Source organism: Homo sapiens, chromosome 16 (assembly GCF_000001405.40).
Source record: "Homo sapiens chromosome 16, GRCh38.p14 Primary Assembly".
NCBI lineage: Eukaryota > Metazoa > Chordata > Mammalia > Primates > Hominidae > Homo > Homo sapiens.
The window spans coordinates 71334478-71353717 of NC_000016.10; the positions used below are offsets into that span (position 1 = coordinate 71334478).

The 19240-nt window shown below is 46.1% G+C and overlaps 1 annotated feature.

Moving 5' to 3' along the window:
• Positions 3202–4401: an enhancer, noted in NCBI's record as "P300/CBP strongly-dependent group 1 enhancer chr16:71371582-71372781 (GRCh37/hg19 assembly coordinates)". NCBI's record gives its function as "activates an origin of replication core promoter dependent on BRD2, BRD4, P300/CBP, MED14 and CDK7 cofactors, with strong dependence on P300/CBP, by STARR-seq in HCT116 cells {active_cell/tissue: HCT116}" and the evidence as "EXISTENCE:reporter gene assay evidence [ECO:0000049][PMID:35650434]".

Consider the following 19240-nt stretch of genomic DNA (forward strand, 5'->3'; position numbering starts at 1 on the left):
CCCTGTCTGATCACAGCTCCCTCCCACGTAAAGATAACCGTTCTCACTGCCAAGTCGTCATGCCCTTGTCTTCCTTTAAAATCACCATCTAATCATGTATCTCAAAAAAATGTAGGTTAATTCTGCTCATTTTGAACATTATATAAATGGAATAACATCGTCTGTGTTCTGTTGGGTCTGACACCTTTCTCTCAACATTATGTTTTTTAAGAATGTTATTTTCCTAATATAAAAAAATTCATTAGTGTTATAAAATATTTTAAATCTGGAATCACACAACGACCTCCTCAACCTGACTCAGTTGACACCTTCCCAGCTGTTACCTTCTAAGCAGGACCAATCCACCTTAAAACTAGAATTTGTTTCCTTTAAAAGTCATGGCCAGAGAAAAGAGGGGTCAGGACCCATAGCTGGCCCCCCTTTCCTGCTTGGGCCAGCTTGCCTTCCACCAGGCCAGCTCAGCCACCTGCCTGAAAGTGGATTATTCAATTCACTGCCACATTTTCTGAATCACTACTTAACTCACCAATCATGGGTTTCTCTGCCCAGGGGGCACTATGACCTTTGGTGCAGAGGGAAGTGGCTGTGCTCCTTGGAGCTGCCCGCCTTCTTTCTTGGTGGACAACCCAAAATGCTTTCAACTTGAGGGTCTACAAAATGCACTCCCCACTTTCTTCTCTTCCTCCCTCTCCTCCTCCTCCTTTTCTTCTCTTTCTACAAGAAATTTTTTTTGATGGAAATTTTCAAACATACACTAAATTACAGAGAATAGTATAATGAACCCCCATGTAACCTCAACAATGATCAACACATTACGTCCTTTTTTCTCCTACACACCCACCCAATTATCCCCCATGCCTACTGGATTATTATTTTCCAACTTTTATTTTAGATTCAGGGGGTGCCTGTGCACGCATGGGTTTAATGCATCATGCCGAGGTTTGGGCTATAAATGATCTCATCACCCGGGTACTGAGCATAGTACCCAACAGTTAGTTTTTCAACCCTGTAATTTTCCCTCCCCCATTTTTGAGTTGCCAGTATCTACTGTTGCCATCTTTATGTCCATGAGCACCCAGTGCTTAGCTCCCACTTATAAGTGAGAACATGTAGTATTTGGTTTTCAGCCCCCGCATTAATTTGCTTAGGATAGTGGCCTCCAGCTCCATCCATGTTGCTGTAAAGGACATGATTTCATTCTTTTTTATGGCTGTGTAGTATTCCATGGTGTATATGTGCCACATTTTCTTCATTTAGTCTGCCATTGATGGGCACCTAGGTTGAGCATGTCTTTGCTATTGTGAGCAGTACTGCAATGAACATTGCAGTGAGTGCATGTGTCTTTTTAGTAGAATGATTTGTTTCTTTTGGATACATACCCAATAATGTGACTGCTGGGCTGAATGGTAGTTCTATTTTAAGTCCTTTGAGAAATCTTTGTACTGCTTTCCACTGTGACGTTCCCACCGACAGTCTCACCAACATCTGTGGGGTTTTGTTTTTTTTCTTTCTTTGACTTTGTTATAATAGCTATTCTGATTGGTGTGATAGGGTATCTTATTGTGGTTTTGATTTTCGTTTCTCTGATGATTAGTGATGTGAAGTATTTTTTCATATGTTTGTTGGTTGCTTGCATGTCTTCTTTTGAGAAGTGTCTGTTCATGTCTTTTGCCCATTTTTTAACGGGCCCTACTAAATTATTTTGAAACAAATCCAAGATGTGTCATTTGTGAATATGTCAGTATATATCTTAAAAATATAATGTACCACTTTAAGAACATATCCAAAATACAATTCTCATAATTCCTTAATTTCATCAAATATCAAATTGGCCTTCAATTTTTCTCCATCATTTTATAAATGTTTCAATATAGTTGTTGTATTCAAATCAAGTCCAAAATGAAGTCTACACATTGCATATTGTTCAAACATCCTACTTTTGTAAGAAATGGTATTTGGAGACTATAAACTGGATTCTGGATTTCTCATCGCTATAGAGTTGGTCACTGCTTCTAGGACTTCTTGGGTTTACAGAACTAGAAAATACAAACGGTGTGTATGTGTGTGTTTGTGTGTGTATGTTTAAAACAGAAGCTACAGTGTAAGTTTAAGCAGATATTTCTAATTCAAAATTTAAATTACAGAACTTTTACTTGAACTCTTTAATTTTATATTTGCATCTCTTTTATGCTGAAAATCTTGGTTTCTAATTACATCATTATCTACTTGCTTTATTTTACTATATGTCTGTGTGTGTGAAATAGTCTTGGAATAATAATGTTAATGTTATTTCCAATGATATTTTTACTGACAATAGTTGATTTTTAGTTCTTTTGTCCTCAGAATGTATTTCACTTCATATGCACAGTTAAATTACTGTGTTTTAAAAGTCATTTGAAATTATCTCTGTTTGTGTGCCTCCAACTGGACACACAATTAGGTTCGCTGTTTCACATTTCTTTTGGGGTTCAGGGATTGTTATTTTCATTTTTGAGTTAATTATGTTTTGTAATCATGGGAGTCAAATTTGCAGAAAAGGTACATTCCAGGCCAGGCACAGTGGCTCACGCCTGTAATCCCAGCACTTGGGGAGGCTGAGGCAGGTGGATCACCTGAGGTCAGCAGTTCGAGACCAACTTCACCAACATGGTGAAACCCCGCATCTCTACTAAAATACAAAAATAAGCTGGATGTTGTGGCGCACGCCTGTAATCCCAGCTACTCAGGAGGCTGAGGCAGGAAAATCGCTTGAACCCAGGAAGCAGAGGTTGCAGTAAGCCAAGATCACGCCATTGCTCTCCAGCCTGGGCAACAGAGTGAGACTCTGTCTCGAAAAAAAAAAAAAAAGGGTACTTTCCAAGAAGTCTAGCCTCTGTCCCTGTTCCCTTCACCTGTTCCTTCCCTCTCCCGATAGATAACTAGTTTTTCAAAAATTATCATTATTATCATTATATCATCTGCTAACAGATATAAATATAAATAACATATAATAAATATAAATAAAATATAAAAATATGAACGAAAAGAGTCCTTTGCCAAATGGCAAAGAAAGGTTTCTGCTTTTAAACAGTAATCACGAAATGCTTTTAAGTGAACAGCATTGCTATGTTTCTTTTAAGATCTTTCCTCTGAATAATTTCTGAGTGTTCAGAGTCATTTACAAAAAGAGATAGGATTTACCTATTTAATGGATAAGGAAATAGGAAAAGAGAAAGAAATTTTCACAAAAGCACAGAGCAAATTCAGCCAAGATTCCAACTAGCTACTTTGCAGGCACTGATCCATCCAACAGCTAGCATGGGCCAGCCCCAACCTGCAGATACTCTGATTCTCTACGTCTGAAGTGAGGCCCAAGCACCTGTTTTGGCAAAGCTTCCCAGGTGATTCTGAGCAGCAGTCTGGTGGACAAATCACTAGTATAAGCCAGTGACACCCAAGCAGGCCTCTTTTGGAGAATCTCAAGGCAGCTTGTTGTTGTGGGAGCAAATCTTGCATCCAAGACTGAGGACTGCAAGAAACATGACCATATTTTTCTTTACTACAATTTAATCTGTTCTGATCTCTCATTGCACCAGAAAACACATGCCAAATCTTGGCCAAAGTGATGACCCCCAACACCACTTCCCCACATACGCTTCTAAGTTCCCAGGAGCGTTGAGGGGTGGGGGTACAGGGAGATCTGATTCAGCCATCACCTCAGCCACCCTCATTGCTGGGTCTCACAGAAGGCTGCTAAGTCATGGCTCATTCTGGCCATGGGGTCATTCAGTTTCCGCAGCTCCCTGGCCAGCTCTGATGCCATATCCATAGCACTGAACTCATCCCACCAGGCTACACCCTCAGAGGCCCTGACTGTTTAGATTGGATTTACCATACAACCCTTTCTTTTTCTGGAGCTCCACCCAGGAAACGGGAAATGAGTCACCATGACTCTTAGATTCCACAAACTGACCTGAGGATTTTTGCCATATCCACCTGCTCTAACCTGGATTTGACCCAGGGAGCAAAGTGCAGGATCCTCTTCTCAATGAACCACTAACTTCTATACACTTGTTGCTTCTCCTTTCTACAGCCCAAGGAACCTTTATGTAGACTGGGCTAAAGTATCCTTGTTCTTAATTGGCCAATATCTCTCATTCTTTTTATTATATGTTATTTATATTTACATCTGTTAGTAGATGACATAATAATAATAATAATAATAATAATAATAACGCTACCAATAATCTATGCTACCAGTTCCTTTTGTTCCCCTTAAGGCCAGGATTTTGTATGCAAAATCTTGGAAGCATCACCCTTTACCTTTGTTACCACATCCCTTACCAGGGCTACCATGTTGTGCAATTTCAGGAAGTATTGTGCACAAAGCCTGGGTGGACTTATTCAGTGCACAACCTGAACAGCTGTATGGGTATGCACAGCTGTATGTGCTGCAGAAATGTTGACCACATAGCCACACACTCTGAATGGGGAAAATAAATTCCACTGGGGAAATAACATTAGTTAGTGCTTCAAAAGCATTGTCCTGCCACTTAATAAAGCTCCAGATAGGGAGTCTGGAGGGTCATTTGGATGTTTGGAGCAAAATATTAAAAGTGAAAGTGACCTTCCTCTCCTCGTTTTTCTGTACCTCCTTGCCAATCTTATCACCTTGGTATACCAAAGAAGATCTCAGCCTGCCTCATCTGAGCCCCAAACAACCTGGGATCCAAGAGGATAAGCTGGAAATACCACAAATATGACCCATGAAAGCACTTAAGACCCCTGCCCAGAGAGAGGAAAGCACTGAGCGTTGCAATCATGGGGCACTTGGGCAAAGTCAGTTCTCATTGATGAGCTTCCAAACACCGGAATAATTCAAAAAGAGCCTCTTCAAAGATACCTGGTCTCTTGTCTGTCCCCAGTCCCCACGTTCTAAAAATCAGCCAGTTACCATGGCAGCTGCTGTCCAATCAAAACGTTCCCATTTATAGAAACTGGCTGAAAACATTTGAATCTGATGGGGTCTGTCGCTGAGCAGAGGATGTCACTCCCCCAGACACAAAGGATGCTTTATCCAGAAACCATGGATAGCGCCTGGCCTGAGAGAGAGAGACTCCAGGTCCTGCCACCAATGCACTATGAACAGGCATCCCACCCAGAAAACGTTCCTGCTGACACTGGTAGGGCCTATGTCATCATCATCCATTCATTCACTAGATAACATCAAGCACCTTCTCTGTGTCGAGCAAGGTACTGAGGTTAAATGGTGACGAATGCTGTGTTCCCGTGGTCACCAAGGCAATTTTGATGAGGAAGCTGATAAAAAAGCAGACAATGGCAACCCGGTGTGATTTAAATAATAATAATAATAATAATAATAAAATAAAAACCATGAGAGCAGATGTGTGGGAACTGTGGAGTCACCTGCCCAGGCATGGAGTCAAGGGTGTTTTCCTGGTGAAACCTGAGTCTTGAGGGCTGAGCAGGTGTTAGCTGGGATGGGGTGAGGAGTGCGTAGGAAGGAGGAAAGGGCCCCGGGCAAAGGCACGTATGAAAAAGCCCAGACAGGGAGAAGAGCATTCCATCCAAGTTACCTCAAGAGTAGCTCGGTTGGCCGGGCACAGTGGCTCATTCCTGTAATCCCAGCACTTTGGGAGGCCAAGGCAGGCGGATGACGAGGTCAGAAGTTCGAGACCAGCCTGACCAACATGGTAAAATCTCGTCTCCACTAAAATACAAAAATTAGCCAGGCATGGTGGCTCATGCCTGTAATCTCAGCTACTCAGGAGGCTGAGGCAGGAGAATCACTTGAACCCAGGAGACAGAGGTTGCAGTGAGCCAAGACTGCACCATTGCATTCCAGCCTGGGCGAGGGAGCGAGACTCCATCTCAAAGGAAGAAAAAAAAAAAAGAGTAGCTCAGTCACTGGCTCAGAGTGAATGATGAAGGCAAAGACAAGAAGAATTGCAGCTCAAGAGGAACGCTGGGACAGAAAAAGGAAGGTCCCTCGCTTCTCTGCGGGCGTCTGGTTGCCTGGCTTCCATTTAAAGTGGAACAGCCCAGGAAGAGATTAGTTGAGAAGTAGCTAAGAGGAGGTTCTGTGTTTTGAGGGAGAAGGGGTAGTATCCTCAAGAAGAAAGGAACTAAGAGGGTAAGGGGTGGGGCACCGTGGCCACAGCCCCCCATTGCCTATTCAACCATGAGCTGGAGAAGCAATCAAACAGGACATCCCCCGCCCTCCCACCTCCTGTCTGCTCAGAGCATCTCTGCTGCCTAGATCTAACAGGATCATGCCATGGCAACTTCCAGATCATTCCATCCAGCCCTTCTAGGGGATGAATAACAGTTTATTGCACATGAACCCAGGAGTGGCACTGTGCTCAGTACTTCCCATGCAAAATCCATTCATTTCTAAAATCATGTTTGAGAGTGAGCATAGTGGCTAACGCCTTTAATCCCAGCAATTTGGGAGGCTGAAGTGGGAAGGACTGCTTGAGCCCAGAAGTTTGAAGACAGCCTGGGCAACATGGTGAAACCCTGTGTCTACAAAAAATTAAAAATTAGCCAGGAGTAGTGGTGCCTGCCTGTGGTCCCAGCTACTCAGGAGGCTGAGGTGGGAGGATCACTTGAGCCTAGGAGGTTGAGGCTGCAGTGAGCCATGATTGCACCACTGCACTCCAGCCTGGGTGACAAAATGAGACCCTGTCTTGAAAAAAAACAAAAACTTAGGCCCAGGCACAGTGGCTTACAGTTGTAATCCCAGCGCTTTGGCAGGCCAAGGTGGGTGGATCACTTGAGGCCGGGAGTTCGAGACTCAAAACTGGCGAAACCCCATCTCTATTGGCCAGGCATGGTGGTGCTCGCCTATAATCCCAGCTACCGGGGAGACCGAGGCATGAGAATCGTTTGAACCCAGGACACGGAGGCTGCAGTGAGCTGAGATCATACCACTACCCTCCAGCTTGGGCAACAGAGCAAGACCCTTTCTCAAAAAAAAAAAAAAAGAAGAAGAAGAAGAAGAGAAAGAAAAAAATCAGAGAATGATGGCTTTGTAGCCAGCTTAAAGAGTAACTAAACTTCTCCTTCAACAGGGGTCTCTGGATGGGGATGGAGGGGGGAGAACCCAACTACCAAATTGAACATTGTAGGAAATTATATTGATAGAGTCTTTGTGAGTGTGGAAAGTATTAGCAATAGGTACAGAGAAAACAAAGCAGATATTTAGTATTTAGTTGCTCCAGGGAAAAAAAAATTAAAGTCATGTTTGAGCACCTTCTATGCAACAGGCAATATAATTCAGATACTGCTGACATGGCCCTAGAAAAAAATAAACTCCTTGTCCTCAAGGAACTTATATTCTTGGGAAGGGGGGGATAGACAAAACCAAATAGATACGTAAGATGACAAGAGATTACAACTAGTCTAAGAAAAATAAAGCCCAGTAAAGTAATAGAGAATGATGGCAAGGGAAGAGGGTCAGAAAAGGGGTGATCTGAGCTGAGACCTGAGTGAGGGGAGGGAGAGAGCTACATGGAATCTGGAGGAAGAAGGTGTCACACTGTGGGAACAGCAAGTGCAAAGGTCCTGTGGCAGACAAGCCGCTGCCATGTTGCGTTGGTGAGGCTGGGGAGTAGGGACAAGGTGAGAGCTGGAGAACCAGGTCGGAGATGGGCCAGGCGGTCACATCAACCTCATAGCAACACGACAGGGTGGGGTACTGTTGTTCCCATATTACAGATGAAGAAACTGAGGTTCAGGAATATGCCCAGGGTCCCAAACCTTTGCTAGGCAGAGCTGGGATTCAAACCCAGCCACTTGATCTTTAATCATGTGCCTCTAATTATTTCCTTAGAGTGTCTGTGCCAAGGAGCTATGGATAACTTAGAACAGATCAATAAGATTCCAACCTCCCGCAAAGTTCCCCTAAATCCCAGCAACTCCACACCTAAAAATGTAAGAAGATCTTCAGGAACTTGAACAAAGATCTAGCTACTTTGTTTATAATAGCAAAATGACTGGAAACAACAGCTTCTCCTTAATAATAGGCAACTGGAAAATAAAGTTATAATACACACATGCAAAGGATGAATCATGTATGGTCATTTTAAAAGACATTGTAGAAGAGTGTGCAACGACATGGAAAGATGGTCAAAATATGTCATTGAAACTAAGCAATACATATAGTACAATCTCATTTTTTGTAATAAATAATATGTAAATGTATGCAGAGGCAAAAGACTGGAAAAAAATAAACGAAAATGTTAAAAACGGCTAACCCAAGGAGTGGGATTGTGGGTGGTACATCTTGGTTTTGCTTAGCAATATTTTCTACAATGAATATAAATTATTTTTGCCCAGCCTGGGCAACATGGCAAAACCCCCTCTCTACAAAAAATATGAAAAACTTAGCCAGGCATGGTGGCAAGCACCTGTAGTCCCAGCTACTTGGGAGGCTGAGGTAGGAGGATTGCTTGAGCCTGGGAGGTCAAGGCTGCAGTAAGCCATGATCACATCACTGCATTTCAGCCTGGATGACAGAGCAAGACCCTGTCTCAAAAAAAAATAAATAAATGATTTTTGCAAAGAAAAAATTTGCATGTGCACATGAACACACACACGTGCACACACACAGTTCACCAGAAAGCTTTCCAGGTTGGCCGGCCACTGGGCACAGGGGACCTGAGCTCCTCTACGCCCCCATCCTACGCTCCAACGTGTGCAGAAAATGAAGTTCTGCACATCACCATTAAAGTCCCATTCAGGTTGGAGACCCCTATAATGAGGCAGCTCCCTGGCCAGAGCTGGAAAATTTAGGACATACTGGTAGCCTCACCTCCCTTCTCAACAAAGACTTCACGATGCAAAGCTGGGGCTTGGGAGGGTGCAGGATCGCAGCAGAAGCTTCGGTGGCACATCAGCAGGAGTGCCAGAGCTTCAGGGTAATTAGCGCTAGACTTGTCAAAGGGCCTGGTGCTATTTTTAAAATCTTTCCAACACATTTGGTTTCATAAAGGATTCCAGGAGTTCTCAGTCCACCCAGTGCTCTAGGAAGGCAAATGAACCAATTAATAATTTAGTGGAAATTACCCAGAGCTTTAGGGGAAGATGCGTTCACCCCCTCATATATTTGCTACCCTTCCTTCTAATTAAGCCAGTCAGAACTTTCTCACCTGCAGCATTGTTTCTTTCATCATTGGAGACACCTGGAGCCACTCACGGACCACAGCGTACTAAACCCCTGCTGCAGGTGGCATTTCAGCAGAGGAGCTTCCGAGCCAATCTGTGGCCCTGCTGCTCACCAGTGTGTGACCTTGGGTGGGCTATTTCACCTTTAGAGCACTAAGCTTCCAGGGGTGTTGTCTTCAGTCAAAGGTCAGCAATCTATGGCCCTCAGACTCAATCTGGCCCACCTCTTCTTTCTATAAATAAAGTTTTATTGGAACACAGCCATGCAGATTCATTTACATATGGCTGCTTTTGTGCTACAGAGTTGAGTAGTTGTGACAGAGAGTACATGGCCCACAAAGCCTAGAATATACATATACTATATATGTGTGTGTATATACATATATATATATATATATATATATATATATATATATATATATATATATATATGTAGAGAGTGAGAGAGGAGACAGAGAGAGAGATTATTTAGGGTCTCACGCTGTTGCCCAGGTGGAGTGCAGGGCATATTCATGACTCACTGCAGCCTTGACCTCCTGGGCTCAAGCAATCCTCCCACCTCAGCCTCCCAAGTAGCTGGGATTACAGGCATGTGCCACCACACCCAGCTAATTTTTGTATTTTTTAGTAGAGATGGTTTTGCCATGTTGCCCAGGCTGGTCTCGAACTCCTGGGCTCAAGCGATCTGCCCACCTTGGCCTCCCAAAGTCGTGGGATTATAGGTGTGAGCCACCGTGCCAGGTGTAGAATATCATCCGGCCCTTTAACAAAAAAGTTTGCCAACCCTGCCTTAGATCAGATCCCCAGAAGCAGAGCTTGAGATGAGGATTTGGGTATAAACGACTTACCAAGCAAGTGCGACCAGGAGACGCCAAGGAGAAAGCAAGGGAGGCAGGACAGTGAAAGAAAAGAGGCCACCAAAGGTGTGATATCAGGCAAAGTCCTGCCCCAGCCTGCTCCTGTGGGAGACCTTCTGGGTCCCGTGCAGGTGAAGTGACTCAGGCAGGCCCTGAAGAGGCAGCAGGTGTGAGCTGGGAGGAGCAAAAGCCACGGAAGCTCAGTGGGGAGGCCCAGAACGTGTAACCGGGATTGCAGGGGATCCGGGCAGAACTCTGATGGGCTGGCTTCAGCTGTTAATCACTCCTCCAATTTATGACGCTTTTACAGGGACAAGGTCTTGGGCCAACATACATTCCCTTGTTTACTCCTTGCCACAGCCTTAGGGGTGGGAAGTATCTGAGGCCCACTTTGCAGCTGGGAATGAAATGAGATCACCCAGACAAGTACTCAGCCCAGCACCAACCCCATAGAAAGCACTCACTAAGAGGAAGCTGGATGTGTCTGGAAGCTGGTTGTGTACTGAGTTTGGGGTCACAGGGGTCATTGGGGTATCTAGCATGTAACTAGCAGGAACTTCTAACAGAGCCCTCGTCAGTCATCCTATCGGGGAGGTCAGAGAAGGAGGCTCTGGGGAATCTTGAAGGAGGGGTGGGAGTTGCCAAGTTGGGGAAAGAGATTTTTCCAACACAGGTCACAGCAACACAAAAGCTAGGCGGTGGGAAACAATGGGCACATTCCGGCAGCCTCGAGGAGTTCCGCGGAGGTGGAGTGAAGACTGAGAGGGGTGGTAGGGGGAGATGAGGCCGGGAGGAGGAGAGTACACCCTCAGGGATGGAGAGCCAACAAAGATTCTAAACGAGGAGTTCTGCAGTGAGACTGGCATTTTGGAACAATCGTCCTGGTTTTGGTTGAGAGCACAACTTAGAGAACAGAGGCTAGAGGTGGCAGGCTGGAGTGACAGCCTACTGCAGCTGTCCAGCCAATTAAGCCCTGTAGGAAGAATGGCTGATGCCGCAGTCTATGTGATGCTGAACTGCGGTAGCCAGGCTGACCTGGCCCCAATCCCGGGCTGTGACTGACCTTCAGATGCAGGCAGCAGAGAGAAGAGGACAAAAGTGCACCGCTGGGGAAAGGCAAGCAGCTGGCACCCAGGGCACCAAAGACCCGCACAGTGAGCATCAAGGCCAGCAAGGGCACAAAGCCAGCTGTCACCTGTCCTCTGGGCCAAGCCAAGGGGGGCTGGCCTCCTGGCCACCTCCTTGGGGGAGCAGTACCCCCATTGTCATGACTTGTTCACAGATTCCCAGACCTCCCAGTGCTATCAAGGGAGGTTTGTACTAGAGGTTGATTTATTTGTTATTTTTTTAATTGTGCATTTTTATGGATTTAGGGATACAAGTGAAATTGTGTTAATGGAAATATTGCATAGTGGTAAAGTTTGCCTTTTTGTGTACTCATCACTCTATTTGCTTTTTTTCGATTTTTGATTCTTTTTTTTTAGAGACAGGGTCTCATTCTGTTGCCCAGGTTGGAGTGCAGTGGTGCAATCATAGCTCACTGCAGCCTCGAACCCCTGGGCTCAAGCGATCCTCTGCCTTAGCCTCCTGAGTGACTGCGACTATGGGTGTGCACCATCACGCCTAGTTCATTTAAAAAAATTTTTGTGTAAAGTTGGAGTCTTGCTATGTTGCCTAGGCTGGTCTTTAACTCCTGCCCTCAAGGGATGCTCTTGCCTCGGCCTTCCAAAGAGCTGAGATTACGGACACGAGCTCCCATGCCCAGCCCATAGAAGCTTAGAGTTCACATCAAGAAGGAAGGCACCTTTTCTAACCTGCCCTTAGAGGTTCTGGGAGTCAATAATGTGGCTTGCATACTACCCATTCCCAGATGGTTCATCCCCACAGAATCTACTTCTCTATTTCCTCTGGTCCCGGGCCCTGAAGCATCCAAGCTTCCACCCTTTATAATTACAAATCACTCTCCCTCTGTGTGTGTGTGTGTTGCACATGTGCATGCACACACGTACAATCAGATACATTCCACAGTTCCTCAAATGCCACCACTGAAAGATTTATTCCTATAGTCCAACCTCCTGGGACAAGGAGGGTGCAATACATGAAGTCACCAACACCTTAGTGCGAATTTATTAATCAGATACTTCCCTCTGCATCAGCCAGATGTTAAGAAAATACCAATGATTCGAAGAGAAAGCTTACTGAAAAGGTATGGAATTTTTGGCAGGGGTGGGGAGAGAGGGGACCGTAGGCAGGAGGGATGTGACTTTCCTTTCCACCCAATCTTGGTCAGCCCAATGCTCTTAGTCAGGAGTCAGCAAACTTCATCTGAAAATGGCCAGATAGTAAATGCTTTCAGCTTTGCAAGCCATAGAGTTTGTTGCAACCACTCAGCCTGCCATTGTAGCACAAAAGTGACCAGAAACAATAAGCAAAGGGATGAGGGCAGCTGTGTTCCAAAACAACTTTATTTATGGACACTGCAATTTGGATTTCATATAATGTTCACAAAGTATTATTCCTCTTTTGATTTTTTCCAGCCATTTACAAATGCAAAAGCCATTCTTAGCTTGCAGACCACACACACACATACACACACACACACACACACACACACACGAGGTGGCTGGATCTGCCTGTGAGCCCTGACCCCTTTCCCATCTTGTTGAGATGCCCTCTCCCTAAGGACAAGCCGTCGGTCTTTCTTTGCTGGGTGCCATCCTTGCCTTCCCTTCTCCAGGCCTAGAGGGAAAAAAAGTGGCTCCTTGTTCTGTGTGCTTTGTCCACAATCCCTGGGGATCTGCTTTCAAGTGTGGAGGTGATGACAGGGTGACAAATGGCTGGCGTGCAGGTAAGCCACCGGCGGTGGGCTGCCGCAGAACAGTGGCCGTAGGGTTCACACCAGTTGACTGAGAAGTGAGCCCAGGTGGGCCCCATCTGCCTGCCACTCCCCAGCCCACATCCCATGCATCAGGCCTCATCAGGTCCATCTGCTACACTTCTGGGACACTCTTCAGGCACCTCTCACAAATCCAAAGACTATTTGTTGTCATTATTACCACCTGACTTTACACATATCATTCCCATTAATAAAAATACAATACTCACTTCTTACTGAGTACTTAGTCTGTGCCAGGCGAGAGCTAAGCTCTCTGGCTCGTATTCACTAAGTGGGCCAGGCTCCGTGTGAAGTGCTTTGCACGCAACCAGTGCGTTCAGGCACCTACGGCTTCAGTGCTATTATTAACTTCATTTCATGGATGAGAAAACGGAGGCCAGAGAAGCTCACAGCACCCAAGGTCACAGAGCTGGGCGGGTCTGTGTGTGACTCTAAAGCCAGGTTCTTTGTCACCGGGCACCCCCGCCTCTCCCTGTCTGACAGCCATTCTGCAAGACTGTATTAGGATTCCAGGTCTTTGGATGCAGAAATAGAAACTCCGAGAAGTCAAATTGTTAGTCCAAGTTCATACAGTGGACAAAGGGTGGTGTGAGAATGCTTTGTTGGCATGCCACTGATGTGAAGAGATGTAGGGGCACCTGCCTGTATGTGAAAATGCATGTTTCTGGAAGCTTCAGAAACTTGGGTTCTAAATGAAGGGTTAGGGCTTCAACAAGTGGTGAGAGACAAATTTTAGCCTGAGAGAATGTCTTGGGTCTGTTGGAAAAGTCTTGTGCAGTTGTGTTATCATAGAAGGGCTCTAAAGTATGTAAAGAGACATAGGAGAAGGCTGGGCAAGGAAGAAGTAGAGGTGCAGGTTCTGCTGAAGTCTGGCCCCAGCCGGATCCCATGGGAAGCTCTGGGGCATGAAGGGTACTGCAGGGTTTCCCCACCTCAAGGCAAGGCGCTCAGCCTCTATACCTCTTATACATCAGTAATTGGCTATGGATTGTCCCATGGTTGGGGTGGGAGGAGCACCTCTGTGCAAGGTGACAATTCTCCGGAGAATGGTCCAGGTCTGAGCCTTGGCACCCAACACCCACAGCAGCCGGGGAATGGTGCACGATTGTCAGAGGGGATCTTGGCAGGTATCATTGGCATCTCCTGTGAGTGGGAGACCCAGGAGACCCAGGTGTCACTAACTGGCTCCGCAGTCCCTCGAAAATCACTATGCCTTTCTCCTTCCTACCCTCCACCTCTGTCTTCCTCTCTTCCCTCTTGATCTTCTACCTGGTGGGCTGAGCCGGGCCTAGGCTTCTGGCTCTCGTATCAGACCATCGGCAATGACGGCCAATCTGCAGACTCCAGGAAGCACCCCAGTTTGGCTTCTTCCGAGCTCGGCCTGCTCACCACTTGCCCCCTCCTGTGGCCTGCCTGTCAGGGGATTCCCACTGACGTGCTCGGGAAGGCAGCTCAGGGAGCAGCTATGAGGCAGGCAGCTCCTCCTGACCAGACGGTGCCGAGGCCCCCAGCAGGGCAAGCAGCTGCCCTCCGGACGGCAGCCCAAGTGGGCTTGCTGCCAGGCACTTGCTTAACAGGAGCTGAGCTGTCCCGGTGCGTGCAAGGGGTCATTTCTAGAGCTTCCAGAAGGGTCTCGACTCTATACACAGAAACATCCTTTTCCACTCCTGTGATCTTCATTCAGTCTTTCATTCATTCAACAATTATCTCGGCTGGGCACGGTGGCTCATGCCTGTAATCCCAGCACTTTGAGAGGCCAAGGCGGGCGGATCACAAGGTCAAGAGATCAAGACCATCCTGGCCAACATGGTGAAACCCCGTCCCTACTAAAAGTACAAAAAATTAGCTGGACGTGGTGGCACAAACCTGTAGTCCCAGCTACTTGGGAGGCTGAGGCAGGAGGATCACTTGAACCCAGGAGGCAGAGGTTGCAGTGAGCCAAGATCGCACCACTGCACTCCAGCCTGGCGACAACGCAAGACTCCATCTCAAAAAAACAAAACAAAACAAAAAACAAACAAAAACAAAACAAAACAATTATCCCTTGAGTGCATTTGGGCCATGAATGGTGCTGCAAGCTAAGAAGAAAAGTGATGAGCAAAATAGACAAGGTAGACAAGGTCCTACCTACCTCCATTCTAGCTGGGGAGACAAATAAGACTGGGCACAGTAGGGTCACAGATTCACTCCGTTAGACGTGCAAAGAAAATATCGTTCCTTTGTTTTACTGTAATTGATCTGATCTTCCTCAAGGGAAGGGCAGATGGGGTGAAGAAATATCTTAAACTTGCCCATTTATGGTTCTAGCCAACATGTCCATCTTAGAAGGAACTACTTTCTCTTTTAGTGAGACTCATGGATCTGAAACTTGAAGAGCAAAGCTACGGACACCTTCAACCTTGGAGCCATTGCCTCTGCCCTGAGTAGCTACTGGGCATGGGAGCAGTGGGAAATGGGCTTGGAGATAGCACCTGAGGACCCCCGAGGTAAAACCAGCCAAGTGTGTAAGGCTAGGCCAGGTGCAGTTTCAACACCCAGGGGTTCTCAAATTTACCTCTCTAGCCCAGACCTCTCCTCCAAACTCTGGCTCCATAAATCCCCCTGCCTGGTCTATGCATTCCCTTAGATGATGTTGTAGTCAGCTCAGACTTCTATAACAAATATACCATAGACTGGGTAGCTCAAACAACACAAACTTATTTCCCCCAGTTTTGGAGGCTGGGAAGTCCAATTTCAAGATGCCAGCAGATCCAGTGTCTGGTGAATATCCACTTCCTAGTTTGCAGATGTATCTTCATATATCTTCATGTATCTTCATATGGCAGAGGGCACAGAAAGAGATTCTGTGTCTCTTCCTTTTTTTTTTTTTTTTTTTTTGAGACGGGATCTAGCTCTGTCGCCAGGTTTGAGGGCAGTGGCATGATCTCAGCTCACTGCAACCTCCGCCTCCCAGCTTCAAGCGATTCACCTGCCTCAGCCTCCTGAGTAGCTGGGACTACAGGCGTGCGCCAACAAGCCCAGCTAATTTTTGTATTTTTAGTAGAGATGGGATTTCACCATGTTGGCCAGGCTGGTCTTGAACTCCTGATCTTGTGATCCGCCCACCTCGGCCTCCCAAAGTGCTGGGATTACAGGCGTGAGCCACCACGCCCTGCCTTTTCCTCTTTTTATAAGGGCATTAAGCCTATTCATGAGGGCTCCACCCTCATAATCTAATCATGCCCCAAAGACCCCACTCTGAATACCATCGTATCAGGGGTTAGGCTTTCAACATCTGAATTTTGAAGGGATACAAACATTTGTCCACAGTAGATTGATTCAAAGACAACTCAAACTCAACACATCCAACAAATGCAGGGTGTATCCTTCTCAAATCTAGTCCTCTGCCAGCATCGCCCATCTCAGTCAGTGTCTGCTTTTCTCCCAGGTGCCAATACCAACTGGGAATCGCCCTCTCCCTCACTGTCCATATCCAACTCATGGCCAAATCCTATTTTCTGCCTACAAAGTTCCTGATCACTTTGCTCCATGACCACTGCCCCTCTGGAGGCCCAGGTACGGCCGTGTTTCCCAGACAGTCTCGGGAGTCACCTGATAGGTTTCCCTGTGTCCACTTAGACTCCTCGCTAGTCACCCCCTACACAGGAGCCAGAGGGAGACCATAATCCTGGTTATGTTTGTTGCTGGCAGAAAACCCTTTGATAGCTCCCAGTGCTCTAGCGTCTGGCCCTGCCAACCTCTCCAGGGTCACCTCCACCATGCACCCACTCGTCCCACTGATCTCCCATCCCTCTGGCTTTCTTACAGCTCTGCCAGCACGGAGCCTTGGTGCATGGGGTTTAAATCCAGGAATGCTCACCTCCTCCCTCCTCCTGGTTAGTTCACTCTCAGGATGGCTTCCTACTCATGCTAGATACGGTCGCTCCCTGATATTCACTCTGTTTTCACTTATATGTGTGATTGTGTGGTTTGATCAATGTCTGTCTCCCTCACTGGACTTTAAACTCCTGAAAGGAGGAATCATTTCTGTTTTGCTAGTACAGTGCCTGGCACAAAGTAGCTGGCTAATCAATATTTTTTACACAGCATGAATGAATAAAATTTGTAATGAATTCATGAGTGAATGAAATGCAGCCCTTATCTTTGAACATCTCATTCTCACATTCCTGCTGCATTCTGGGGAATCCTGGAAGTGGGGCACTGTCCCTCTAGGGACATTTTTCCCATCCTTAGTAAAGGAGTCCAAATTCCTGGCCACCTGGAAGTCCTGTTCTGGCAGGAAATAGAGCAAATTTGTTTGCAAATCAAGCCCAGGGCTCCCTGCCAGGCCCCCAGGCAGAGCCAAGCCGGCCTCACACGGACGCCCTGTGGATTTGCACTCATGCACGCTACATTTCCTTGTGTCCTCCTTGCCTGCACCTTTCTCTTCGTCCTCCACCTCCTTTCCTTAGAAATCCCATCTCACTATATGGAGTGATATGATCAACTTCCAGCTCAGCTCAGAGAAGATGAAGGGACTCTTCTAGATTAGCCAAGCACATTGGTGGATCTGGAACCCAGTTATTCCGAGAGCCCACTCGACAAAAAAGAGAACAAAAACAGCCAACACCATCGACCCTGTGCCAATCACGGTGCTAGGTAATTTGCATAGATTATTTTATGGAATCATTACAACAATCCTTCTACACAGGTTTCATTAGGATTAGAGAGAACCTAGAATTCATTTACTAGATGAGGGCCAGTAAACTATGTCCCACAGGCCAAATTAGGTCCACCAAGTTCTTCTTCTTCTTCTTCTTATTATTATTATTATTACTACTACTACTAAAAGAAGTATTATTGGAACAGAGTCATATTGCTCTGTTTACATATTATCTATAGCTGCTTTTGCACTATAATACCAGGGTTGAGTAGTTGAGACAGAGAACCTACGGCCCACGAAGCAGCCCCCCTCAAAAAAAATTCCTATTTAGCCCATTACAAAAAAAAAGTTTGCCAACTCCTGTTTTAGATGACACCCTTCCCCCAGACTCTCCCTTTTATATTTGAATTCGTTTGTCCGAATGTTTTTTTTTCACCCAATGTTAAAGCAAACATGTTCCGCAGCTTGTTTGAATTTTCTGTGTTGAGCACCCAACACTAGAGGTGTCAGTTACTTTCACCATGCCCATAGATGTCCCTAAGGGAAATAGGCCCCTCTCTGTGCTGCCCACTGCCCTCCTGAGACTTGTCCCCAGCCACAGCTGATTGGACTAAGAGATGGGTGTCCAACCCTAGGCGGCCTTGCAAGGCAGGACAGCAGCTGATGATCTGAATGGCTTCACATGAAAAGATAAGCTAGACCAACCAGATTTTTCTCTCGGGAGTCTGGAATATGGAAACAGAGGCAAGGCTGTCAGGGGAAATGGAAGGTAGAGGAGTCTTGGGGACAAGTTGTGGCTGGTGACTGTAAAGGGCAAGGTTGTAAGGATGCCTGCTGGGAGGGAGAGAAGAAAATAGAGGCACAGTGCACACAGAGACAATCTGTGAAGGAGTGGCCCTGTGCTCTAAGAGAAAGAGGGACAGAGAAATTTGGTTCCAAAAGGTTGCCTGTTTCCAGCTCCCATGAGGACAACTGTCCTCTTCATGGATTATCAGTCAGGTCTTTTAGGTTGCAAATGAAAGAAAACCTACCATAAATGGGCTTGAACACTAAAGGGTATATATTGACTCGTGCAACTGAGAAGTCCAAAGGTACTTCAGGCTCAGCTTGATCCAGCAGTTCAAATGATGTCACTTGTGACCTGACTTCTTGCAGTCTCTCTGCTCTGCCTTTTGCAACATTGGCTTCAACCTCAGTGTCTACTCTGTGCTCTCTCCCATTTCCCTCACTCCAGGCTCTGCACTCATGGTGTCAAGATAGCTGCAGTGATTCCAGACCTCACAGCTTCACACCAGACTGTCTGCAAATAGACAGGAGGTCCCAGTAGCTCCTTTGCATTCTGGGATATGATGTCTCATTGCCTATCCCTGAACCAGTTGCTTTGGCCAGGGTGGAGATGGGTTGCACTCATTTGGATTAAACTCACCATCACTTGCCTTCGGTTTTCTCCCCTGTAATAACATTTGAATGCTTATTTTGTTCCAGGCCTTGCATCACCCTTAACATGCATTACCTCTCTTAATGCTCACAAAGCCTGTGAGGCAGTTACTAGGATTATCCCCATTTTACCAATGAGGAAATACAAGCTCAGAGAGCGTAGACACCTTACCCAGGATTACAAAGCCAACACATAGTAGAACTGCCGATAAAAAGCAGATCCAGGAGCTGAAAGGGGCC